This window comes from Homo sapiens, chromosome 1, assembly GCF_000001405.40.
Source record: "Homo sapiens chromosome 1, GRCh38.p14 Primary Assembly".
NCBI lineage: Eukaryota > Metazoa > Chordata > Mammalia > Primates > Hominidae > Homo > Homo sapiens.
Window position 1 is genome coordinate 210,116,898 of NC_000001.11, and position 27,293 is coordinate 210,144,190.

Consider the following 27,293-nt stretch of genomic DNA (forward strand, 5'->3'; position numbering starts at 1 on the left):
TATAATATTATTTCTTGAGAGGTGTCAGTATCCTGCCCCTACTAAGAATCTTTTATAACCTGGAATGCAATAAGCATGCATCTCAGGGTATTTAAATAGGAACACATCAGGAGTTGTTTTATTTTTAAATAATAATTGATTAATTAGGGACATATGTGTGTATGCCACTTCTCAGTCAAGAGTATAATGCCACAGACTCTTAAGACTGAACTACCCTCTTTATGACTTACTACAATGATGAACTTGTAGATAGTTGTAATTTCAACCTTTAATTTCTAAAATTCCTATGTGTCAGAAATAGCCTATCTTTTATGTTAATGGATTAAATCACTTCAGTTTGATGTTTATACTGTTATTTTTATTTTTAAGAGGTAAATTATTGCTGATACTCTATAATTCAGATGTGTGTCCCTATAAGAATCATACTTTATATTATAAGGAAATACCTTTCAAAACTTAGCTTCATCTGTTTTCATATTCAGTATAATTCACAACTACCATTGTCAGCAAAAATCTACATTTTCTGAATGTAGATTACTCTTCTTCTTTGTAAAACAATTTGTAATAAATACTTCATGATAAACTAATAATCACAGTTAAAAATTACTACATGAAGAAGAAAGCTACATGTGTTCTAGTTCCCTAGACAACAACAGTAATGAGTCATGGCTCACTTTAGTATAAAAACTTAATGATTATAGACCTATTTACAGACAATTATTCACAGAGAAAGTAAATGAGCATATATTATTAGTTGAGAGGAATAACTGCAGTCTCACACAAAGAATTGTTATCAGATAAATCTTTTAGTGAAAAGAAGAAACAAACAGGTCATAAAAGAAAGCCTTTTGTTTAAGTCAGATTTTTAGTTTTGTAGGAAAAAAGTCAGGTTTAAAGGTCAAGTCTCAAGAAATTTTGAACATGCAGGAAGACTGAGTGAGAAAAACTGAAATTTCAATATGTAAAACTGCTTTTTAAAGTATTTAATATAGAGAATAAAGAACATCAAGCACCTAAATTGGGATTCATTTTGTTGAGCCATCCAAATGCTAATCCCTTCACTGTCAGCAACCAACAAGTGTGTATTATGTTTTTCAACAATGAAAGAATAAGCTTAAAGCACAGGCATTGTTTTCCTTTGCTGCTCTATTTTATTTTAAGCAATTTATTTCTTCATGATACCAACTTTAGTTGTTTGTAATGCTAATGAGAGAGATTAACAAATGTTTTATGGAAAGAGAATACTACTTGACCATTTTATGGTAGATTATAACACATAAATGGGTCCAAGCAAGCAGCATATTCTGTAGTTAAGTATGCTCTAAAATTTATTAAATTGAGAAAGAGGGGATAAAATAGTGTTTCTTATAAAAACATCATAGGGAGACAACATTCAAATTCTAAATATTAACTGTTATTTCAAAAATTATTTCTTTGGGGAGTATCTAGATTATGGACATCCTGAAAACATGCCTTCTTCATTATTATCAACATCTATGAAATTATATATATTTAAGGAAGCATTTTTATTACATTACAGTGTTCCCGAGTAAGTTCCCTTTTGTGTTGATTGTTTTTTGTTTTGTTTTTGTTTTTTGAGATGGAGTCTTGCTTTCATTACCCAGGCTGGAGTGCAATGGCGTGGTCTCGGCTCACTGCAACCTCCGCCTCCCAGTTCAAGTGATTCTCCTGCTTCAGCCTCCCAAGTAGCTGGGATTACAGGCACCTGCCACCATGCCCAGCTAATATTTTTGTATTTTTAGTAGAGATGATGTTTCATCATGTTGGCCAGGCTGGTCTCGAACTCCTGACCTCAGGTGATCCATCTGCCTCTGCTGATTGTTTTATAATAATAATAGTTGTATCCACTGTGTTTCTTGTTTATTATCTTACCATTTGGTGGATGGATGATAATTAAATGAACAGTAACATTGAGTGAGGTTGTTCTTCAGGTCTACCCTTTACAAATGAAAGAAATAGCAAACAGAAGCAATGTTTTATTCTTTTCTTTAATCATTTTCCCCATCATGCTAATCTAAAATAACAATAAAGTATACAATGGGCAAATATGTTTTAAAACCAAAATCCTTAATTCTCATATTTTTGTACTCAAAATCTTGACAGATGATTTATAATAGTAGGTGCTTCATTTGAAAAATGTTTAATACTATTTTTAATGATAGATATGAATATGTATTTTATAAGAATATATTTTATCAGCAAACTACTAGTAATTACATTGCTTGTAATCTTTCCTCTGAATTTAGCAGTAGTGAGGATATTTCTTCCAAGAATTATGGATATATCTGCTGAGACAGTTATTTTGAGGTGGACAGGATTTAATGCTACTTTTCCAAAGTAGTGTCCATTTAGGCAGATGGTGAGAATTTAAAGAAAACTGGGAAATACTAATTGCAAAAATGTTTTTCTCTCCAGAAAACTTGAGATTTAATTTAGAAAAGAGGCAGTTTTTATCCTTGATGTATTTATGTTCTTAGAATAGAGTAGAACTTAAGAAATACTGAATGCAGCCTAGGACAAAGGAACTTAATTTTAAACATTTTAAATTGAATGAAATTGTTTATTAGCAGGTTTCTAGTCTCATAATCACATTTGTGCTGTGGATTCAGTAGAGACTTATAATGAGTCAGAAAGATATCTATTTGAAAGTTACGTTGAATTTTATGCAGGGAAAAGAATAATTCTGGTCATAAAGTTATTGTTCATGATGAGCCAGTATATAAATTTCCTGATGTTTATTTTAAGCAAATAGATGTAAATTTCCATAATTGAAAATGAACATGCTCCTGCAAGTACCACGTGTTTGTATTCCCGGAGCTCCTGTTAGAGTAAAATACACATTTTTAGGTGTTGATTATGCAAAGATGTTCTGGTAAAAAGGCTAATTCTCCATAGTACACATGTTAGAATTGAAATAGTAGTGCCAGCTTACCTGGGTACTTCACAAGGTTGTGAAGATTAAATGAGGTAAAGTATGTGAAAACCTTTGAACTAACAAATATTAGTTGCGTCTCTGAGATAAAACGGGTGTCCTTAATTTAATTTGAGTAATTCTACCATTTTTGGTAACGATATCCTCTGATCTTACAAAAGGTATACATTATTTTCTTTCCTATATCTCTTAGAATTGTTTTTATAGGCTATACCTTAGCTATTTACCATGTCCTTTTTATAGTCAGTCACTTTTGGGGCAACTAATGATTAGAATGGTACTAAATTACTTTTTTTTTTCTAGTAGGAAAAGCTAACAGAACTAACAGAAACTGAAAACTTGAGTTTGGTGCACATAGTTTTGTTATATTTTGGAATTACCTGATATTATAATCAAATTATATACAGTCATGCACCACACATAATGTTTCAGTCAACAACAGATCACATAATTGATGGTGATCCCAGATTATTACACGGTCTTATTACCGTAAATTTTTTTTGGTGTTTTTGCTGTTTTTTTTTTTTTTGTTTGAGATAGGGTCACTCTGTTAGGCTGGAGTGCAGTGGCACAATCAAGATTCACTGCAACCTTGACCTCCTGGGCTCATCAGCCTCCCGAGAAGCTACTATACCTTTTATATGTTCAAATATGCTTAGATACACAAATACTTACCATTGTGTTACAGTTGCCTACAGTGTTCAGTACGGTAACCTGCTGTACAGGTTGGTAGCCTAGGAGCAATAGGCTATACCATCTAGGTTTGTGTAAGTACACTCTATGATGTTCCCACAATGACAAAATTGCCAAACAGTGCATTTCTCAGACCGTTTCTGTGTCATTGACATGTGACTATAATTTGTATAATAAAAGTTATAACATATCTAAAGAGAATAAGATATATTTTACTTTATGGATAGCAGCATATTAGAAGTACCTTTTTTGTTAGTCAGTTTACTTTCGGTGGTATATTTCTCCCTGAAATGAAAATTAGCACTGTCCTTTAAGCTGTGTTAAAGTTAAGAAAAATTTTTATACCAGCTCATTTGTGATTTGTCACAAAATATTCAAGAATTACTAGATAGGAGAAATCTGCCATTTTAGTGCCAAAGTTGTTAGATATTCAAGACCAAGTTTATGTTTGCATTTGAGGGTTGGTATAAAGTTGGGAGCATCTGCAGTCTCTGGATTCACATCATGGATCCCACTTCATCCCAACTGTGTGTCCTTGGGTGAATATTCAGCCTCTCTGTGCCTCATTTTCTTCATTTGTAAAAAGAGATAGTAACGATAATAGCTACCTTATAGATTTTTTGTGAGGATTAAAGGAGTTAGTCCATGTAGAGTCCTTAGAACAGCAGCTGACAAAGAGTGGGAACTTGCTAAATGCTATTTTTATTTGATCTTATCCATGTATGAATAAATTTAATGTTCTAATTTTGTGGTAATCTTAATTAGATACTAGTCCGCAAGTAAAAAATCTTTGCATTGTATTTTTTCAAGTTTCAAAATCAGAAGGGACATACCAAGCTGGAAAAGAAGAAGGTAAAAGTACCGTTATTACAACAGAAGTAGCTAGTAATAACTGTTTTCAGGAACTAAATATAATTCAAGCCTCAAATGTTTTTGAGATACAACTTTTTGGAAATATATTCTGAGTAGGGCCAGGCGCGGTGGCTCACACCTGTAATCCCAGCACTTTGGGAGGCCAAGGTGGGCGGATCACAAGGTCAGGAGATTGAGACCATCCTGGCTAACATGGTGAAACTCTGTCTCTACTAAAAATACAAAAAATTAGCCAGGCGTGGTGGCGGGCGCCTGTAGTCCCAGCTACTCGGGAGGCTGAGGCAGGAGAATGGCGTGAACCCAGGAGGCAGAGCTTGCAGTGAGCCAAGATCGCACCACTGCACTCTAGCCTGGGCGACAGAGCGAGACCCCATTTCAAAAAAAAAAAAAAGAAGAAAGAAATATATTCTGAGTAATTATTAAGATGACTGAATTATAAATATTCTTTAAATAAATGCACTTTTATTATTTTCAGGCATGCGTAGTAACTCATATTACATTGATACATATCAAGCAGCTTAAACCAGGCTATTCTGAAGTAACAAATCCTGAAACTTTTTTTTTTTTTTTTTTTTTTTTGAGACGGAGTCTCGCTCTGTCGCCCAGGCTGGAGTGCAGTGGTGGGATCTCGGCTCACTGCAAGCTCCGCCTCCCGGGTTCACGCCATTCTCCTGCCTCAGCCTCCCAAGTAGCTGGGACTACAGGCGCCCGCCACTACGCCCGGCTAATTTTTTTGTATTTTTAGTAGAGACGGGGTTTCACCGTTTTAGCCGGGATGGTCTCGATCTCCTGACCTCGTGATCCGCCCGCCTCGGCCTCCCAAAGTGCTGGGATTACAGGCGTGAGCCACCGCGCCCGGCCCAAATCCTGAAACTTTTAAATGCCCACAACAAAGGTTTATTTCTTACTTATGCCACATGTTTATTGTGGGTCAATTATGGCTCTATTCCATGTTTTCTTCACTGTAAGATCCAGACTGATTGGGCAGGTTCTTTCTGAAACTTTCTTGGTTGTCATGGCAGAGAGCATAGAAAACTAATCCTTGTCTTTTAAAGCTTTTGCCCAAAATTGACACATGCCACTTCCATTTACATTTCATTGTCTAAAGCAGGGGTTGGCAAACTTTTTCTGTAAAGTGCCAGAGAGTTCATTTTTTTTTTTTTAGGTTCCACATATGGTCTCTGTCGCATTTTTTTTTTTTACAATTCTTTTTAAAAATGTAAAACCTTTCTTAGCATGCTGGCTGTACAAAAAAACAGACCACATGCCACATTCAGTTTGCCTCCTGTAGTTTGCTTACTTCTGATCTTAAAAGCAAGTCTTATGGCCAAGCCTGGGATCAACAGTGAGGGTCAGTGAATAACTGTAAACAATATTCCATACCGTGAATTGTAAGATTAATATAATCTGTATATTCACCTTATGATTTGCATATCAGTCAGTAGTTTGTAAATAAATTTGTGCTTTTATAGTACATGAATTTGCTCTCTTGGGACATTCTCTTTTACATCTTACTTAAATAATAGATTTGCATAACAAAGCCTTTCCTAAATACTCAACTGTGTCCAGTTATCACAGTTCCTGAATCCAAGTGTTTAATTTATAAAAATATTATTGAATGTGAAATACTTAAATATCTGACAAGTCGTAGTATGTGTTAAACAAGTTGGCCTGGACTGGCACTGCCAAAAGAAAATGCAAGAAAGAGTTTATTTTTACAGTTAAAGATAGTGGATTAGGCACATATAATTATTTATTCTTCCTGTAATCTCCACTGAAATGATAGTGTCATAGTTTACAACAATAAATACATATATATATATACATTCACATTTATACCCATGAAGTCTAAATAGCTGGAAAGAGGGCATCAGCAGATGAGACATACCACCTTCTGAAGACATTGTGGGTGGAGGCTGGTAACTGACTCTTTAGAAAGAATGGAGATAACTGAGCATAAAGTGCACACAGAAGGAGAGAACTAATCTGATCACACACCCATGAATACTACCAGGTACAGCATGGGGTAGCATGAATCTGGGGATTAAAAACAAGATAATCACTAAAAGCCTGTGAGATGTATAGTTGTATTTCCATCCAACATGAAGAATAGTGTCAGGCTTGTGTCTAGCCCTTGGGCAGTAAATAGCATAAGTTTCTTCTCTGGAAAATCTCAAGATTCCAAGCAAAGATTGCCCCATACTGACATTTAAGAGTCCCCAGGGAAATTGCCTTATCTCCATCTAATCATGTTTATGCCTGTCAGTGAACAAGTTGCATTTAAACGTTTAGAGTTTTTTGGGGAATGTATTCTTAAATATAAACAGGCAATCATGGCTGAGGAGACACTAAGGGAAAGCCTCCACCAGGAAAGAGAAAATCCAGGATAAACAGAAAATAAAATTATGCAACAGAAAGGGTCCATAATGGAAAGATGACAAGAAAACTAAAAACTAATTTTAATTAGTGTTTTCAGAAAGATGTGAGAAGACAAATTTTTTTAAAAGAGAAAAAATGCTCAGAAAAAGGAACAGTCATAGAAAAAAGGGTCTCTTGTAAATTACAAGTATGATCACCAAAACAAAGCAAATAGTAGAAGGGTCAGTACGAGGATTGGCAAACTATGGCCTTCCACCTGTTTTTGTAAAGAAAGGTATACTGGAACCCAGCACTGCCTATTTGTTTTCATATTGTCTATGGCTGCTTTCATGCTACAACAGCAGAGTGAGTAGTTATGACAGAGATCATATGCTCATGAAACCAAAAAATTTACTATCTGGCCCTTTACAGAAAAAGTTTGCTAACCCATTAATTAGAAGACAGAAATGAAAAAAAAAAATAAATAAATAACTCCAGGAAATATAAAAGGAAAATAGAGTGGAAAAGAAACAGATGGAAAGATTTAAAAAAGGATTAGAGATTAGACAATCCAGGAGGATTTAACATATGACTAACAGGTGATTCATAAAGAAAGAAAACAGAGGGGAGGAAGTTGTATTAAAAATACAAGGCAATGTGCCAAAGCTGAAGAGCTTGTCTCCAAATAAAGGATCTGAACAATAAATGAAAAAATCCAGACCTAGACACATCATTGTGAAATTTTAGAACACCAGGGGTAAAAGAAAATCCGGAAAGACCCCCTGATGACATAAAAATTAGAAAGATCAGAAGGGCATCAAACTTTTCAACTGTAAAGCTAGATGCAACAAGACAGTTAAGCTAAGGCTTCAAAATGGTAAAGAAACTTGATTTTCACTATATGAAGTGTTTCGATGTATAATCTCCTTAAATTCTAAACACAACACTATTATGGGTAGGTGTCATTATTTAATCCCCATTTTACAGATGACAAAACTGTAATTTTATGACTTTGACTATCCCAAAGTCACTGTGTTACATTTGATTGCTTGGCAAACTACAAATATTCCCAGCCCTTTCTAGTTTTTTTTGTGTGGTTTTTTTTTTTCCTGTACTTCAAGAGAAATATGTTTGAGATTCTGTAGCATTCTGGATGCTAGTCAGGTTCCAACAATTAAACACATTTGTGCATGATTTGCGAAGTTAAAGTGAAGGCAGAGGCCATTTTCTTACTGCTTCAGGCAGGCAAGTTCAAACGAAAGATGTTTTTCCTCCTCCAGTAACATTCTTTTTCTTTTTTTTTTTAGATTCAGGGGGTAGGTGTCCATGTTTGTTACAAGGATATACTGCATAATGCTGGAGTTTGAGCTTCTATTGAACCCATCACCCAAGTAGTGAGCATAGTACCCAATGAGTAGTTTCTCAATCCTTACCCCCATCCCACCCTCCCCCCTTTTGAAATTCCCGGAGTCTGTTGTTTCCATCTTTATGTGTACCCATTATTTAGTTCCCACTTACAAGTGAGAACATATGGATTTGATTTTCTGTTTCTGCGCTAATTCACTTAGGGTAATGGCCTCCAGCTGCATTGGTGTTGCTGCAAAGGATATGATTTCATTCTTTTTTAGGGCTATGGTATTCCATGGTGTATAGTAGCTAGTTTACCGCTTCATGTGCACTAAGAGGTAATTGCAATGGCCGTGAAGACTTTCTGATCTCTTGATCAAACTAAGATAGTATGTTTTTTAAGTCATATCTTCCTGCCTTCCCACTACTTAGTAGCTCCTTTGGGGGATCAGCTTTTCAGTGTTCTAGGAGTCATTTCTGCAGAACTAGCCTAAACCTTGCTACTCCAGCTCTTCTAACAATTTTGTAAGCACCTAATTTTCTGAATTAAATCTCTTTCTTAAAATACCCAAAGTGATTTCGTTTTCCTTCACTGATTCCTGACTGATGTAGTTCACAGAAGTTTAGTATTAATGATAGAATAAGAGGTTTTCAGATTTTAAAATTATATCTAGGCAGTCCATGCTATACTAAAACACTGCCAGTCATAACCAGGGTTTGATTCTAGTTAAAATGGTTTCTTAACATATAATGTCTAAGAATAATTACATTAGTGGAAAGAGGTAAAGAAAGGCAACGTCCAGCCAGGCACGGTGGCCCATGCCTGTAATCCCAGCACTTTGGGAGGCCGAGGAGGGCAGCTCAGGAGGTCAGGAGATCGAGATCATCCTGGCCAACATGGTGAAACCCCATCTCTACTAAAAATACAAAAATTCACTGTGTGTGGTGGTGCACGCCTGTAATTCCAGCTATGCGGGAGCCTGATACAGGAGAATTGCTTGAACCAAGGAGTCAGAGGCCACTGTGAGCTGAGATCACCCCAGTGCACTCCAGCCTGGCGACAGAGTGAGACTCCGTCTCAAGAAAAAAAAAAACAGAAAGGCAACATCCACTTACTTTCTTCAGCTTGAAAAGTGCTTCCGTGTACTGGGTGCAATTTTAAGCATGATATATATTAACACGTTTACCCCTGAGATAGGTACTATTATCCTTAATTTATGGCCAAAAAAAAAAAAATGCATAGAAAGGTTAACTGAATTGCCCAAAGTCACATGCTTAAGAAGAGGCAGAGTGAGGATTTAAATTCATCTGTCTCCACAGTCTGTTCTTTCAGCTATTCTATACTTTATCATTATATCTTTGTAACACTAAATTTGACCTGAAAGGGGGTTAAATTTGTCTGGGATTGTTGATAGAACCAAGTTTAAAGTATGAACATGTTTTTATTCCCATGTAATTTGTTTTTTATTAGATGTGAAAATCTTTCAGAAACCCTAAAATGTCAAGATTGTGATTTTTAGGACAAAAATACAACGTAAAGTAGATCCAGAAATGAGAACTAAAAGTACTCTTTTCATCATCGGTACTGGTATGCTGCTGAAAATATATTATGACCAAAATAATTTTATGAAAAAGTGCTGAATTCTCTCTTTGTGGATCCTTGCCATTTCTTTTTAAATTTTGGTCCTTTTGGATGTTTCTCACCATTTTCCTCTGAATCTTTTATGGTTCTGTACCCTAGGATGTATCATGAAATATGTTAACTCACTTAAAATTTCATAGCTCTGATCAATTTAACAGTTTACTAAATTGTGTGAGTGACATATAGAGAAAGAAGTAGAGGCTTTTGATAATGTTATGTTCCTTAGTGGATGGGGTTCTATGGCTGTTGAGTGGGCAGGGGCTTGGATATTTAAAATAGGAAAAATGGTAAAATGTGCTTTCACAGGTAGTCCCTACCTAATGAATGTATTGTGGTCCCATACTCATTTATAAGTTAAAAGTTCATTTGCAAGTCAGCATGTAGAAGTTTGAACTAAAGCTGAGTATTATAAAAGCACTAAAGATTCTAGGAGAACGTAAGTACCACTTAGACTTTATTTTCATTGGATAATGAGGTAGACATATTTCCCATTCTTACCCTCACTCCCAGGGCAGTGGCTTGAGCAATCTATAAGTGGAGATCCTCAGGGAGTTGCTAAGGAGACCCTCTATTGAGGACTTTGGCGGGGGAGGTGACAGTGTAAGTATGGCTGTGTTGGTGGTGGCTACAGCAGATGCCCTCAGCAAACTTCCTCTTAGATTCCATTGGCTAGGATTTGGTCATATACCCATGGCATCTGCCAGAAAGACTAGAAATGCAAGTGCTGGCATTTTTAGTCTCCAAAGTAGGAGGAGAGCCCTTCCAACAAGAAATGAAGAGGTTGGCAGTGGCTGTTGAGCAGGCAAACAACAGTGTTCACTGTGACTTACAACCAGGAATTTTGGTAGCGGTCTTCAAATTCATGCTTTAATATGAAACTATCCTTTTGGATGAATGTACCTAAAATGAATAATTTCTCCTTTAAGTTTCTCCTCTCTTTCCAAGTATATAATATTTTATTTTTAAAATTGGATGATCAGGGCAGGGCACAGTGGCTCACTCCTGTAATCCCAGCACTTTGGGAGGTCGAGGTGGGTGGATCACCTGAGGTCAGTAGTTCGTGACCAGCCTGGCCAACATGGTGAAACCTCGTCTCTACTAAAAATACCAAAAATTAGCTGGGCATGGGGGCGGGCGCCTGTAGTCCCAGCTACTCGGGAGGCTGAGGCAGGAGAATTGCTTGAACCTGGGAGGCGGAGGTTGCAGATTGTGCCCAATATCGCGCCATTGCACTCCAGCCTGGGCAAAAAGAGAAAATCCATCTCAGTAAAATAAAATAGGATGATTAGATCTATGACTATTAATTATTTTCAAGGTAGATTTTTAAGGCCAGGTATGGTGGCTCACGCCTGTAATCCCAGCACTTTGGAAGGCTGAGGCAGGACGATCGCTTGAGGTCAGAAGTTCGAGACCAACCTGGACAACACAGGGAGACCCAGTCTCTACAAAAAATGTTTTAAAAAATTAGTTGGGCATGGTGACACATGCCTGTGGTCCCAGCTACTTGGGAGGCTGAGGTGGGAGGATTGCTTGAGGCTGGGAGATTGAGGCTGCAGTGAGCCATGGTCACACCATTGTACTCTAGTCTGGGTGACAGAGCGAGACCCTGTCTCAAAAAAAAAAAAAAGTAGATGTATATATGTAGCTCTTCACTAGTAAACAGCTATCTTATATTGTAAATGCAAACAAAAGTTTGCAACTCATATACAATATTTATTTTTCCTTTCATCTTCTTTTAATAAGAACTTAGACTTGTTTACCTTTGGAAAATATTTTTCACTTTTATATTACATTAGAAATGCCACTCTTTAAAAATCAATATTTAAAATGCAAAATTAGTAGCTGAAGTGTTTGTTCTGAAACAGATCCACTACCCTCTTATGTCCTACAGAATTTCTGAGTAAGCTCTACCAATCATTTGCATCAGAATCTTATGGAATACGAACAGTGTCTATTTCGGGGACTCAACACTAGATCCACTAAATCAGAATCACTGGAAAGCAGCCTAGGAATCTATTTTAAACAAATTGCCCAAGTGATAGTAGCATACACTAAAATATCAGAACCACTGATACATAAATTGTTTTCCCGAAGAACATTGTGGATATGAGTGAGTTGAAGTATATATTTTGGAATAAGTTCTGAGGACATATTTTGGTCTGTTTTTTTGTGTTTCATCAGATTTTTCCATCTTTTACTGCCTTTGTTTTCCTTTTCAAATATTTAGCAATGTATGTTCCTTAGGTATCCAAAAAAATAGCTTCAGGAGTAGAATTATAAAGAAGTACAAATGAAATTATAGTAAAAATATTAAGAAAAGTTTCCTTTTTAGAAATCCCCTACCATCATTTAATCATATAAAAAGCCAGAGATTACACTGAATAATTATTTGCATCAGTTAAGATTCTGTCAGTTTCAAGTGAATGCACACCAACTCAAAATGGTTTAAGCAATAATAAAGACCTAGAGAGTAGGCCTTTCTTCAGGCATGACAGAAGTAATATTACCAAGGTGCTGGTTTCTCTTTCTACTCTCTTCCCCGACCCTGCCTTCCATGCATCAGCTGCATAATCAGGTTTCACATAATGGCCGTCTTGAAACTCCTTGTGTCTCACTGAGTTGTGTGCCCATTCCAGAACCAATCACAGTGGCTACAGGGATGGGACGCACTGATTAGCTTATGCCCTGGAGCTGCTGGTTGGTCGGTCACCTTCCAAATCACATTAGATGAAAGTTAGAAAGGAGTTAAGTTCATGGTACCACCACTAAAAGGAAGTGATGAATGGATGCTAGGGACATAACCAGCTAATGTCTACTGTAATATTTATTTAAACTTTCTTGATAATAATGTTCACTAAACCTTTAGTGATTGGACATAATATACATGAAATCCTATTTTAATCAGTTTGATGCTGCATCAGAATTAGGCAGAATTTTCTGCACATTGCCTTTAGGAAACTTGAGGTCTATTTCACACAATCAGTGTCTTTCTAATATGCTTAATTGGCTATGAGCTAAGTAAGCCCTGAAAACGGTGATTCTCAATCTTAATTACACTAGAATGAGTTGGAGAGTCTTCAAAGTAAAGATGCTCAGGCTCCCACTTAGACCTGTTGATTTGTGGGGCCTGAGTATCTGTATCTTGTAAAAGCTCTACAAGAGCCTCTAATATCAAAACTGCATCAATTGTCATTGCCCCACAGAATCTATCTTACTTTCATATCTTCTTCTTCACTGTCATTTTCTGGATAGCCCCAGGACTGCAATGAGTCACTGTTGAGTTCTGAAATATCTGTCGGGTCTGACCATAGACTTAACATGAAACAAACCATATCATTCAGAAAACTATTATAAAACTGTTTTTTCCAAAACTGCTCAAACTGCAACCAGCTAAACGAATGGAAAGAAGTACTTATACACACTATTAAATGTTAACCATTTCATTGCCCTTGGCTTCTTTCAAAATTTTACATTTCATATATACTGTAAAATATTAAAATTATTTCTCTCCTTGATTCATTAGAAGCTTAGTACATTTTGAGAGCAGAAAAAAACAAAAAACATTTTAAGATGGATTAAAGTCATTATGACCATGAGAAAAAAAATGGTTTTTTTTCCAGTGTTCATTGTATGTAACCTAGAGTATTATAGATTACATTTTTCTTTGGATTCAGTTTATTTAAACAAAGTTTATTGTGGCATTGAAGATATTAGAACTAAATTTTTAAGAAACTGACAAATTCATCATTTCCTGGGCTTCACTGGTCATTTAGGAATACTGATTTGGAAAATATGCCAAGTGGCCCATTAATTATCCACAAGGCCATTTTTACGGTGTATAGTCCCACCTGGACTGTCCTGAACTTCACAGTGTAAAATGACAGAAGGAATGAAAATGACATTAAAAGATTTGTTCCAAAATAACACATCGTGATAAAGTGAAATAGAAACCATTGCTATTTCTATAGCCATTAACTTTCCATTTCCTGAGAAATGCTTTTAATACTCTATGAGGATATATACAGAAACAACAGTAATAACATCATATGTAATAACTCAGGTAGCTAGAGAATTCACGATGAAGTTGGTCTCAGAAATATACTTCTGTATTCCTATTTTAATGAACATATAAATCATATTTTGCCATTATATTTGTCGGTAACTTATTCATAACATTTGAAATTTGAATCAGAAATAATCTTCAAACAGTCTGTTTTGTGGCATAAGAGAATTGTTATGACCACTTTAACGTTTAAGAAAGGAAATTTGAAACTCACGGTATTCATAAATTTAAACTGAAATCATCATTGTCCTAATTCCTTAGTGAGAATGTGTTTAAGATTTTAATTCATATGAAGTGGTTAGCACAGTTCCTGGGACTTAGTAAACAGTCAGTAAATAATAGTTGTGTTAATATTATCATCATCACTGTTGTTTCTACTACCATCACCGCTGTGACTGTCACCTTTTAGCCACTTCTTTCTTAAGGATAGTTTAATTTGATTTCCTTTTAGTTGGAATTGACAAGTTGTTTTCATAATCCATTTTGTCCCTCTGAACGTCTTGCATGAGTAATTTTAAAAAATTTTCTCCCTTTTATATGAATAGTCTTATTAATATATGTAGAACTTGTTATAAAATATGAAAGAAAATGTAAATTGTTAAAGTCTTAATTGCACAGTAGAATGGTATATACTATACTAAATATCTTTCATGCCTTATGCCACTTTTTCGTAGAGGCAAGACTTATGGAAAATTATCCTTCTATTTTTTATCATTATTTATATATATATGTATATGTACATATACATATTTACATTTATATTTATTTCTATACCTATATATTGAAAGCCATGCATTCACATTGAGACTACCAATTTTAATTCAGCACCACAGGATTCATACTAATTTTCTCCCTTTTTATATGTGTAGCTACCTTTTTCCATAGTGAAAAGCATGGCTTCTGTTATCCTTAATGTATTAACTCATTTGATCAGTCTCTTTGAATGTAGCCAGTGTTCTGTTGCAGCCATCCCTTCTTCCATATAAACATATTCATTCCCAAACTCAGGTTCTAACTCCCTGTGTTTATTTTCTCCTCCTGCATGAAGTCCTCATTGTATTTGGCCTCTGACACCAAGTAAAAGCTCTCCTCACCCTGCAAAGGTTTTGAAGCCTCATACCAGGCTGGCCCTGATGCAGGACACCAGCCTTGGGCTCTGACATCCCACACTAGACCACTCTTCTACGGAAACACTCTCCTTACTCTACTTGGAACCTGATACCTGAACTGGCTCACCCCTCTGAATGGGTGCCCTTCTCACCCTGCAGAAGGTTCTGGCAGCCCATTCTGTGTTACTATGTGTTGCCCTCAATGAAATGTCTTCTTTACCCCACCAAGGCTCTACACCCCAGGCAAGGCCATCCCTCTGTGGAAATGTTCTCCTTATTCTGCTCAGGATCTGATGGCCACCACCAGGCTGCCCATCTGGGCTCTCTCCCCACGCCAAGTCCACCTCTTCATATCTTTCTTCCCATCCTGGCATGGACATCCTGTTCACCCTGCTGGTGTGCCACGTGCCACTCCTCTGTGAGGACACCCTCCTCACCCTGCTTGGACATAATTGATTTTTTTTAACTTTTATTTTAAGCTCAGGGGTACATGTGCAGGTTTGTTGTATAGGTAAACTTGTGTCATAGGGGTTTATTGTACAGATTATTTCATCACCCTTAATTGGTTTTGTAAGTTAATGACCCCTCGACAGTCCCTCTATAAAGTCTAAGATGATGATGATTTTATATATTGTGTGTGTGTGTGTGTGTGTGTGTGTGTGTGTGTGTAGCCACTAACTTATATTGACCATTACGCACATGTGGCCATACTTTATGTCTCAGATAATTCAGATATTTCCCTTTTCCAGATGTCTATGAAATGGCCACCAAGTATAATCTTCAGAGTATTGCAACTAGATATAATTTTTGGCCTTCTGAGATTAAAGACAGAGAAACTGAGTGGTGGAACTGTCCATGGTACTGACAAGTCCCTAGCCTCTCTTCTGGATTCTAGCGTAGCTGCCTTAAATCCGACCATTGTGAATCTTCCCCACTGTTACAGATCTAACTATACCTCTTACTTGTTTCTGAGATTTTTTTTCTAAAGCCCTGTAAAACCTGACTTCATTTCCACACTTTGACTGTCTAGGAGCTTTTGTAAATCTGTACACCATTCTCTGAATTTATTATATCTTACTCTGATCTTTTTATTTTCCCACAATGGTCAGAGGACCTTTCTATAAGCCAGCTGGAGGATAACTAACTTCAAAAGGTGGTACCTTCTTTTAATTAATAGACATGCTCATATGTTAGAGTCCTAATGTTGCAGTTATACCCCTTTCTAGGAGGAGAACTTTCTGAAAGTGCACATATATTTCTAGCAAAGCATCTTAGCAGTTGCCCTCAGGTCAGGTTCTCTGGAGAATCAGACTCAGTTTGGGAGGCAGTGACTTTTGCTGTATTCCACTGGGATATAGGTTCTTCAACACTTATTATTCCTATAATATAATGGATGCAGCTTTTGTGACAACCTCAAATTTATACCAGAAGCTATTATCACTGGAGAAGTCCTCAGATTCTTATGCTGCTCTTCATATTTACTGAAAGTATAATAAGAAATGAGTTAATAGATATTGTATAGCAAATAGGTTTATTTCATTTGATAGCAGAGGACACCAGTAAATGCTTAAATCTGATTGAGTAGCTGGAGTTAGTCAATAGTGGTGCCAGTAATGGTGAATCTGATAGTGGTGTCCAGTGTATTAGTATTTTCTCTTGCCTCCCATATTTTATTAATATATTCACTTATCCATTCTAAGTGAACTGACAGAAAGATCAAAACCTCTGTACTTTCTGAAGTATTATTCCTTTTGCTTCTTGTGCAAGGTGGAGGTGAATAAAAATTTGTAAGAATCCTAGAGCTGAGTACTAATTTTGATGTTTTTTTGGCAACTGTCTGGTTGTTTATTTTTGAGAACCTAGCCCAAAAGATGTCTTAGTCACAGCTGATTATCTTATTTACTCTTTTTTTTTTTTTTTTGGAGAGCTTATTCAAGTGTAAAGTGTGGGGATGGACCACTCAGAAACACCAACTCCATAGGAATGGAGTTGGCATTCCAAAGTAGGGAAGCTAAAGTTTCATTTGTATAGGCAGAGACAGAGGAGCTTTTGGCAGGATTACAACATTATTCATGTAAGGGTTGGCACATAGTTACAATTTGATTGGTTAGGTTTTGTTGTTGTTGATTTTTATTTATTTATTTATTTATTTTTGAGATGCAGTCTCATTCTGTCACCCAGGCTGGAGACAAGGTCTTGCTCTGTCACCCAGGCTGGAAGGCAGTGGTGCAATCGTGGCTCACTGCAGCCTCAACCTCCCAGGCTCAAGCGATCCTCCCACCTCAGCCTCCTGAGTAGCTGAGACCACAGGTGCATGCCACCACACCTGGCTAATTTTTAAAATTTTTTTTGTAGAGACAGGAGTCTCACTATGTTGCCAGGGCTCATCTTGAACTCCTGGGCTCAAGCAATCCACCCGCTTCAGCCTCCCAAAGTGCTGGGATTACAGGTGTGAGCCACCACACCCTGTTTTGATTATCTTGCTCTTAACTATGCATTACTCTTATTTATTTGAACATCTGTATCTAAGTTTTACAGTTTTAAGCTTAGCATCATCATTAGTATTAATGAAATAGAGCCCTGAGTTTCTTGCCTTAGTTGAACACATACTTAAATCATTTGTAAAACACTTCAACTGTTTACAGAGTGTTTTCACATACAGTATACCTTTAAAGCTTCATACTTTTGTCCTTAAACTCACCATATACAATAATGAACTCCTTTCTGCCCCTACCCCTAAACATGCTTTTCCTCCTCCTCCATTTCCTAAATCATTTTACAGTACCACTGTAAAACTGTTGATAAAGCTAGGAGCCATAACCTCATCATACAAATCTCATCCTGTCGATCTGGGTTCATTGAGTTTCTCAAAGGTTTGGATTTGTAGTTTTAATTAAAGGGAACCTTTTGCCAGTACTTCTTCAAATATTAATTCTGGCCACATAACCCCTTTCTGAAACTCTGATACATATATATGAGACCCTTTGAAGTTGTCCCAACTCACCGATGCTGTGTTCTTAATTTTTGTGTTCTTAATTTTTTTCCCTGTCTTTTTTTTTTTCAAAAACAGAGTCTCACTCTGTCACCCAGGCTGGAATACAGTGGCACAATCTCAGCTCATTGCAACCTCCACCTCCCGGGTTGAAGTGATTCTTCTACCTCAGCCTCCCGAGTACCTAGGATTACAAGCATGCACCACCACACCTGGCTAATTTTTTGTATTTTTAGTAGAGACAGGGTTTTGCCATGTTGGCCAGTTTGGTCTCAAATTCCTGGCCTCAAGTGATCCACTGGCCTCACCCTCCCAAGATGCTGGGATTACAGGCATGAGCCACCGCACCTGGCTTCCCTGTCTTTTTTTTCCTCTGTGGTTTGATTTTAGACCTTCTATTGCTGTATCTTTGGGTTCATTGATCTTGTCCTGTGCAATGTCTATGTTGGTAATCCAGTCCAGTGTATTTCTCATCTCAGATAGATTTTTCAGCCTCTATAAGTTAAATTTTGGTCTATTTTATATAGTCTGTGTCTCTTCTTAACAAGCCCATGTTTTCTTCTATTGTCTTGAACCATGGGACATATTTATAATCGCTGTTTTAAGGTCCATGTCTACAAATTCTATCATCTGTTTAGTTTCTGGATCAGTTTTTATCAATTGACTTTTTTTCCTTAATATGGGTTTTATTTTCCTTCTTCTTTTCATGCTTGATAATTTTTAATGGATCCCAGATATTGTGGATTATACATTGTTGGGTGCTAAATTATTTTGTTTTCTCTTACTTTTGAGCTTTGTTCTTGGATGCAATCAGGCAACTTGAAAACATTTTGATCCTTTTGAGGCTTGCTTTTAAGTTTTGCTATAGAAAACTAGACATTGTTTATTCTAGGGCTAATTTGACCCCACTACTCAGGCAATTTCCTTCTAAGTACTCAACTCAGTGCCCCATATATTATGTTTTCTACACTTTGTTCAGAATGTGAATTATTCTCAGGCCTATGTGAGTTGTGGGGATTGTTCTGCTTGATTCCTTCCAGCACTTCTTTCCTTGGCCATAGGTAGTTTGGGATTCAAAATGAATTTTTAAACTATGAGTGAGACTTAAGCATATTTAAATATGGCTGAGACAAATTCACTGAAGCCTGATATTTAGGATGTGAGACAAGAAGCCTGTAGAAAATAGGATCCAGACAGCAGGTGGAGAAATTGGTCTGAAATACAAGGGATGCCTCCTCTTACAATGGTAAGAAAGAAGGAGAGAATCCAGATGTCAGAAAGTTTGTAGATATTTTCACAGGAAGTTGAGGAAGTTTCCACATATTGAGAGGTGTGTGTGTATGCGTGCATGTGTATGTGAGAGAGAGAGAAGCAGGAGGCAGGAATGAGTAAGGAGAAAGGGAACGGGGTCAGTGATTTTAGGAGAATGGAACTGGGTCAGCTGATTTTAGAAAATGGAAGATTTATAATAATTGGGGAAATGGAAAAATAAATTTACCCGAGAAGTATAACTAGATTGTAAGTATAGCCAGATGATGGCCAAAGTTCCAATTCATCCCATTGTGTGATGCTTTTCCTAGTACAATCAAGGAGTTAATTGGTTCTTCCAAGGTTAGCGTTTTGGCAGCTTGGAATGCCAGCTTGATAGAGGAAGAAGTAAGGACAAGAAGGGGCTGATGAACAAAAAGTATAGTGTCAAGCACTGAAGGTCCAGTCAAAGCATGGTGTTATGAGAGCAGTTGAGTGGGCAAATTATGTTAGAAAAAAGAGGTGTAGTTAGCACCTGTTTTACTTAGTAACTTTGGCGAAGACCTCACCGTAGCCTCTGGTGGTGCCGAGGCCCAATAAATAATAGTGAGACTGGGAGGGAGAAGTCATTAGAGATGAGAAAATCAAATAACTTAGTGTGCAGACTGTTAGAAGGATCATTCATGTGGAAATTTAATTCACCTTAAGTCACATTAAGTCAGAGAGATGTTAGGGTACAGGGGAATCTGTGAGCCAGGTGGAATTCTTCACTAAAGGAGCAGGCCTCACTAGATGATTAGCAGTTGAAACATTGCTGAGAGGGAGAAGATGGTACAGTCAGATGGCAGGAGCTTCAGACTGAACCACAATCTGCAGGAGTGCCTCATGGATCCTGGTAACATATGCTTGAAAATTTTATACAAATGAATTTCTGTCAGTGTTTGGGCAGATTTGAAGGGACTTACCCAATTTTGTAATTTGTATCAATCCCCTCTGAAGGCCCAAACAATATCGGGAACTCTGAAGAGGAGGCAGGTGTGGGCCCCAGATTTGAAAGGTAAACTCGTAGGACACAGCCTCCTTCACCTCCTATGCTCACATTCTTGATGGGCAGTTACCATACCCCCACCAAAAATCATCACCATCCCACTGGCACTCTTCCTTGGTAGAAATGTGGGGACCTCACTACTCTTGTGAATTATAGAGGGAAAAATAATGAAAGTGAATATGAGGATGAAGCCAGATTATAAAGATCCTCAAAAACAGAATAAGGGATTTAGACTTCTTAGTAAAAAGACCATTCGAATTAAGAGTCCAGAATCCTAAGTCCTAGTCCATTTTCTCCAGAACAACTAGATATGTTAAAACTTTCAGAAAGATATTTAATTAACCTCTCCAGGCCTTATTTTTTTTTTTCATTTCTAAGGTAAATAGGTAGAGTAGGTTGATTTGAACCATGTTCTCCAGAAATGCTCTGGGATTCTGGAAATGTTTGCTTCAAATTTCTTTTTTTTTTTTTTTTGAAATGGAGTTTTGCTCTTGTTACCCAGGCTGGAGTGCGGTGGCGCAATCTCACCTCACTGCAACCTCCGCCTCCTGGGTTCAAGTGATTCTCCTGCCTCAGCTTCCTGAGTAGATGGAATTACAGGCATGCGCCACCACGCCCAGCTAATTTTTGTATTTTTAGTAGAGACGGGGTTTCACCATGTTGGTCAAGCTGGTCTCAAACTCCTGACTTCGTGATCCACCCGCCTCAGCCTCCCAAAGTGCTGGGATTACAGGCGTGAGCCACTGCGCCCAGCCTCTTTTTTTAATTATAATTTAAAATGGTAAATAAAAAAAAATCAACATAAACACATGCTGTGTACTAAATTTTAATCTATTGGAAATTGTTTACATGTTAACTCACTGTATTAGTCCATTCTCAACACTGCCAATAAAGACATACTGAGGCTGGGTAATTTATAAAGAAAAAGGGTTTAATGGACTCATAGTTCCACATGACTGGGGAAGTCTCACAACCATGGTGGAGGCAAATGAGGAGCAAAGTCACATCTTACATGGCGACAGGCAAGAGAGCCTGTGCAGGGGAACTGCCCTTTATAAAACCATCAGATCTCATGAGACTTATTTACTATCAAGAGAACAGCACAGGAAAAACCCACCCCCATGATTCAATTACCTCGCACCAGTTCCCTCCCATGACATGTGGGGATTATGGGAGCTACAGTTCAAAATGAGATTTGGGTGGGGACACAGCCAAACCATATCACTCACTATCTACTTTTTTGTCTTCTATAGATTTACTAATAAAGCCACTTCTCCCATATCTCTCTATATATTTGAAATTCTTGTAATTGTGACTTGGGAATAGCTATAGGTTGGTGTTGATATATTGTTTAATTGCTATATATTGTTTAATTTAGTCCTATATATGTCTGCCAAAAAAATTCTATTAATACTAAATTCATACATCACAGTCACTGCTTTTTCTATATTTAAAAAATCAGGTAGTTTTAATTATTTGCATAAAATCAGGGTAGTTTTCTTTAAAATATAAGCAATCATTATAGTAATGGTTTAACTTAAAAAGTTTCTGTAATGTTCCCTAACTTTATCTTTCAATTTTCTTGGTCAGTTCAATGAATTAATATTCTGACATTGCAAGACAAGGTAATTCACAACTTATCAGCTCTTTATTGATTTTATACATAAAATAAAACACAAACACTGGATGCAAAGTTAATATATGACTAAACTGTTACCAACAAACCTAAATATCAAATTTCATTTTTTATTGAAATAGCCTGTTATAATTTGAGCTCAGTAATAAATGTACTAATACAATGCTATACTTACCTGTTTCATGTATTTGAACGTGGAATAAGATTTTATTTTTTTAAAGAGTACTTTTATTTTTTTTTTTTTTGAGACAGAGTCTTGCTCTGTCACCTAGGCTGGAGTGCGGTGGTGTAATCTCAGTTCACTGTAACCTCCACCTCCCAGGTTCAAGCAATTCTCGTGCCTCAGCCTCTCAAGTAACTGGGACTACATGCGTGTACCACCAGGCCTGGCTAATTTTCTTTTTTCTTTTTTTTTTTTTTTTTTTTTTGATTTTTAGTGGAGATGGGGTTTTGCCATGTTGCCCAGGCTGGTCTCCAGCTCCTGCTAGGATTACAGGTGTGAGCCACCACACCCAGCCAAAAGGGTACTTTTACTACAACTTTTTGAAAACCACTGGATTAAATTATCTTTGAGATTCTTTCTAAGATTGTATTATTCTGAAATAGGGATCCTGTAAGTAATTTTTCATAACTATTGAGACATGATTCACAGATCATAAAATTCACCCTTTTATAGTGTAAAAGTCATGATTTTTAGAATATTCACATAGTTGTGCAGCCATCACCATGATTTAATTTCACAATATTTTTATTATCCCCGCCACGAAAACTCTGTAGCCATTAGCAATTACACCTCCTGGCAACCACTAACCTATTTTTTGTCTCTATGGTTTTGCCTCTTCTGCACATTTTATATGAATCAAATCATACAATATGTGGCCTTTTGTGTTTGATGACTTTTACTTAGCATGATGTTTTCAAGGCTCATTCATGTTTTATCATGTATCCATACTTCATTGTTTTTTGGGGACTTAATAATATTCTTTGTATGGATATACCACATTTTGTTCATCTTTTCATTCATTGACATTTGGGTTGTTTCCATTGGCTTTTATGAATAATGCTGCTATGAACATTTGTGTACAAGTTGTTGTGTAGACATATAGTTTCATTTCTCTTGAGTATATGTCCAGTTCTAGAGCTGTATTTATTCTTAACATTTCTGGGAACTGCCAAACAGTTTTTCAAAGTAGGTGCACCATTTTACTGTCCCACCAGCAATGTATGAGAGTTTCAGTTTCTCCACATTCTCTTCAACACTTGTTATTATCTGTCTTTTTATGTAAGCTATCCTACTGGGTATAAAGTGGTATCTTATTATGGTTTTGATTTGTATTTCCCTAATGACTAATGATGTTGAGCATCTTTTCATGTGCTTATTGACCATTCGTGTATCTTCTTTGGATAAATTTCTATTAAAATCCTTTGCCTATTTTTTTGCCTTTGGATAAATTTGGATAAATTTTGCCTTTGGATAAATTTCTATTAAAATCCTTTGCCTTTGTCTCTTTATTTTTGAGCTGTAAGAGTTCTTTACATATTCAGGAAATCGGTCCCTTATAAGATAAGTGATTTGATAATATTTCCTCCTATTCTGCTTTTCTTTTTACTTGATGATGTTCTATGAAGCACAAGGTTTTTAATTTTGAGAAATTCAGTTTATTGATTTTTTCCTTCTGTTGCTTGTGTTGTTAGTGTCTTATCTATGAAACCATTGCCTAATATAAGATAAAGATTTACTACTATGTTTTCTTCTAGTAGTTTTATGGTTTTAGCTCTTAAATTTAGGACTATGATCCATTTGAGTTGATTTTTTAATACGGTGTGAGGGAGAGGTCCAAATTAATTCTTTTACATGTGGATATCCAGTTGTCCCAACAATTTGTTGAAAAAAAATCTTTTTTTCATTTATTTGTGTTGGCACCCTTGTTGAAAATGAATTGCCCATAAATGTAAGTTTTTATTTCTGAACTGTCAATTATAGTTCGTTAATCTATTTGTCTATCCTTCTGCCAGTACCACACTTTCTTGATTATTGAAGCTTTATAATCAGTTTTAAAATTGGGAAGTGTGAGTCCTCCAACCTTGTTATTGTTTTTCAAGATTGTCTTGGCTATTCTGGGTCCCTTGCACTTACATATGAATTTTAGGACACTTAAATTTTAGGATTGACTTCTTTGTTTCTGCAAAAAAAAAAAAAAAAAAGAAGGCCATAGCAATTTTGATAGGGATCGCATCAAATCTGTTTGATCCGTACTTTGGGCTACATTACTGTCTTAACAATTTAAGTCTTCCAGTCCATTAGCATGAGATGTCTTTTCATTTATTTAGGACTTCTTTGATTTCTTTCAAAAGTGTCTTGTAACTTTCGTGTAATACAAATTTTACAGTTTTGTTAAATACATTCCTAAGTATTCTATTCATATTGAGGCTATTGTGAATGGAATTGTTTTCTTAATTTTTTGTTTTCTAATTGTTCATTGCTAGTGTAAAGAGATAAAATTGATTTTCATATATTGATCACAAATCCTGAAGCTTTGCTGAGCATATTCATTAGTTCTAGTAGTTATTTTCTTCATGTGCATTTTAGGATTTACTGCATAGGAGATCATGTCATCTGTGAATAGAGGTAGTTCTGATTCTTCACTTCCAATCTGAATGCCTTGACAAAGACATTCTCCTAGACTAGTCGCCCCCATAGTTTATTGTTGCTGTTTGTTGTTGTCATTCCTCTTTGATGACTTTCTTGGTTTTTGTAAAGTCTATATTATTGTCATGTGCATCTCAGTTAACATTAGTGGTCAGCTCAGCTAACAACTGGACAGAGATTTCATTAAGTCTTTGCTGAGGGGTTCTGTGTATATTGAGCCATGCTTTCAATGCTCCAAGAGTCAGTTTACAACTGTGCCTTAACTTTCACTTTCTGCATGCACAGAGCAGCAAGATCAGCTAGAGGTAAGAGACTAGGACCTTCTCAAGTTTTTTCTGGGCATGCACATAGCTTTGCACATGTGTGTAGACTGCTAGATTTCCAGAAATGCCTTAGAACTTTTCAGAGATCCCTATTAACATCTCATTCCCTAGATTTTGCTCTTATTTTTTCATTGGCCAGAGCCAGTACTGCTTCTTTGGTGACTGCCATGTTAAACACTTGCCACTGATTGTTTCCAACAGATGTTCTAAGGATATAGTTCTTATCAATCTGAGTCAAGTAAAATCAAAACAAAGCCTGAGAATGGAACTTTTCACAGAACTGTGAGACAAGTGAAGTAATGTCATTTCTCTGAAGATGGGGCTCCTGGGCACTCCAAACCCATTCTTCCCCCCTCCAGCATCTATGAGGCTGTTGGATTTCACAGTTGCAAGTGTTGGCTTTCAACACTACCAGGGAACTGGGGAGAGGGTAATGGGAATAGGGTATATTTAAAATGCCACAAACCTTGGTAGTTCTCACAGTATTGAGCCATTTTTCTTGAATAAACACTCCTTGGAGTGTTGCAGGCCTTTAGTTAGTTCAGAGTTCTGAAAAAGTTTTTTTTGACAATGTTTGCCAGTGTTCATGTTGCTTTTATAGAGGAGCAGACTTTCAGAGGTCCTTACTTCACCATTCTGCCTGTAAGGGTGTTTGAGTAGAGGTGTGTCCCCACCAAAGCCAGGTGTATGGAAGTCTAGTTTACCAGTGTCTGATGTCCATATGCTGGCATGGAGATTGGTGAACTGTAGTGTGATGAGCTGATCCAAAATGGCCATTCAGTTAAGGAAAACTAAGAACGTTACCAGAAAAAAGATACAAGGCCAAAAGTTCAAAGATTTAAAAGTAAGTAACAGATTGAGCTGACATGGAGGATGACCTGATTGAGCATAGGAGACCTCTCCTGTGCCTGCTCTCTGCACCCCTTCCTCCCCCATTTCCCACTGTTTGCATTCACGGCAGACTACACAGATAATAGTGTAGAAGAAGCATCAGAATGGGGAAAAGATAACTAAGATGAAATTGCATTATGGAAATATAGTGATCTATTTTTAAAACACTTATGTGTTAGCTCACGTAATCTTATCACTTGAGAGGACATGAACATGAATCTCTGTTTTATAACGGAGAAAAATGAGACTTTCAGTAGATCAATTACTTCCCAGGCTTAGGGCTAGCAACAGGTAGAACTACTCCTAGCTCTTTTGATTTGTCAAGTACTTTTTGCACTATTAGATAATAACACTCTATTAGAGGAGTTTTAGTAGTAAGGAAGAGCCTATTTTGAGATACTATCCGGAGGAAAAATCACCAGTGTATATCTGGTTGGTCATGTGAGATTAAAAAAGAGAAGATGCCCAAAAGTTGGAAAAGGTAATGCATTAGAAGTGTAATTTTAAAACATTGCAGCTAGCCAAAAAACAAGTGCCATTCTAATGTAGGGAAATAAAGATCAAGTTGCTATTAATTCGGTGAAAGAATCAGGGAAATAATTACTGAATATTTAATCTTAGCCAGAAATGTCTATATTTTGCTAATTTTTCACCATGTGTCAGCAGCACTGTAAACAATAGCAATTACAATAGTTACTTGGAATTGGATATCTAAATTTGTTAAATATTACACAGTTGGGAGTATATTATATTCATTTGCTCCCGTTTGTTTATATTTTAATATCTTGAAAAATGTCATATATTATTTAGCGCTATATTCAATATTTTACCATCTATATTATTACTGTCCACCAGACTACTAGAGAGTTACTTAAGTGTAATACTGTAAGTTTTGACTTAAGTGAAGACTCAAAATATTTTGGAGAAACTGGGTCGGCAGGGGGCAGCACAGTCTTACAATGTATAAAATGTGGTCATTTGAATGACCATTCAGAAATAAGATATAAAGATAGTGTAGTTCATGGCTTTTCAAGCTTTTCAAGCATTCAGACCCTTTATTTCAAATGAAATATTATTTATAACTCAAAAAAGTAAGGCAGAGAAAAGTGATATTTTACTAACAAATCTTATTTTATAATATTTACTTGTAACATCTGTTAATACTGAAAATGATAGGGTTGTTTTGATGAACAAAAAATTGAGAATAAAATTTTCTAGAGGGTACTGTTACTATATTATTTTTATAGATGAGGAAATTGAGTCTCAAGGAACTTTTAAAACATGTCCAAGGTCACGCAGATGGCAAAAAGTTAGAGCTTATTCATAAACTCAACTGTCTTACTCCAAAGCACAGGCACCTACAGTTATGCAATTGCTGCTAATACGTTTTCATCTTGCTGCAGCTCTGAAATCCAGTGCAATGTATTTCTTTTGTTTTAATTATACATTTTAGAGAAAACTCTGATT

General features: G+C 36.5%; 1 protein-coding gene across 14 annotated transcripts in view, besides 1 other annotated feature; it reads left to right on the forward strand.

Annotated features, from left to right (window-relative positions):
• SYT14 (synaptotagmin 14) overlaps positions 1–27,293 on the forward strand; it is a 233,173-nt gene that overhangs the window by 178,681 nt on the left and 27,199 nt on the right. The window lies entirely within an intron of this gene.
• Positions 15,774–15,974: a silencer, noted in NCBI's record as "peak677 fragment used in MPRA reporter construct". NCBI's record gives its function as "represses an SCP1 promoter by STARR-seq MPRAs in K562 erythroleukemia cells {active_cell/tissue: K562}" and the evidence as "EXISTENCE:reporter gene assay evidence [ECO:0000049][PMID:32103011]".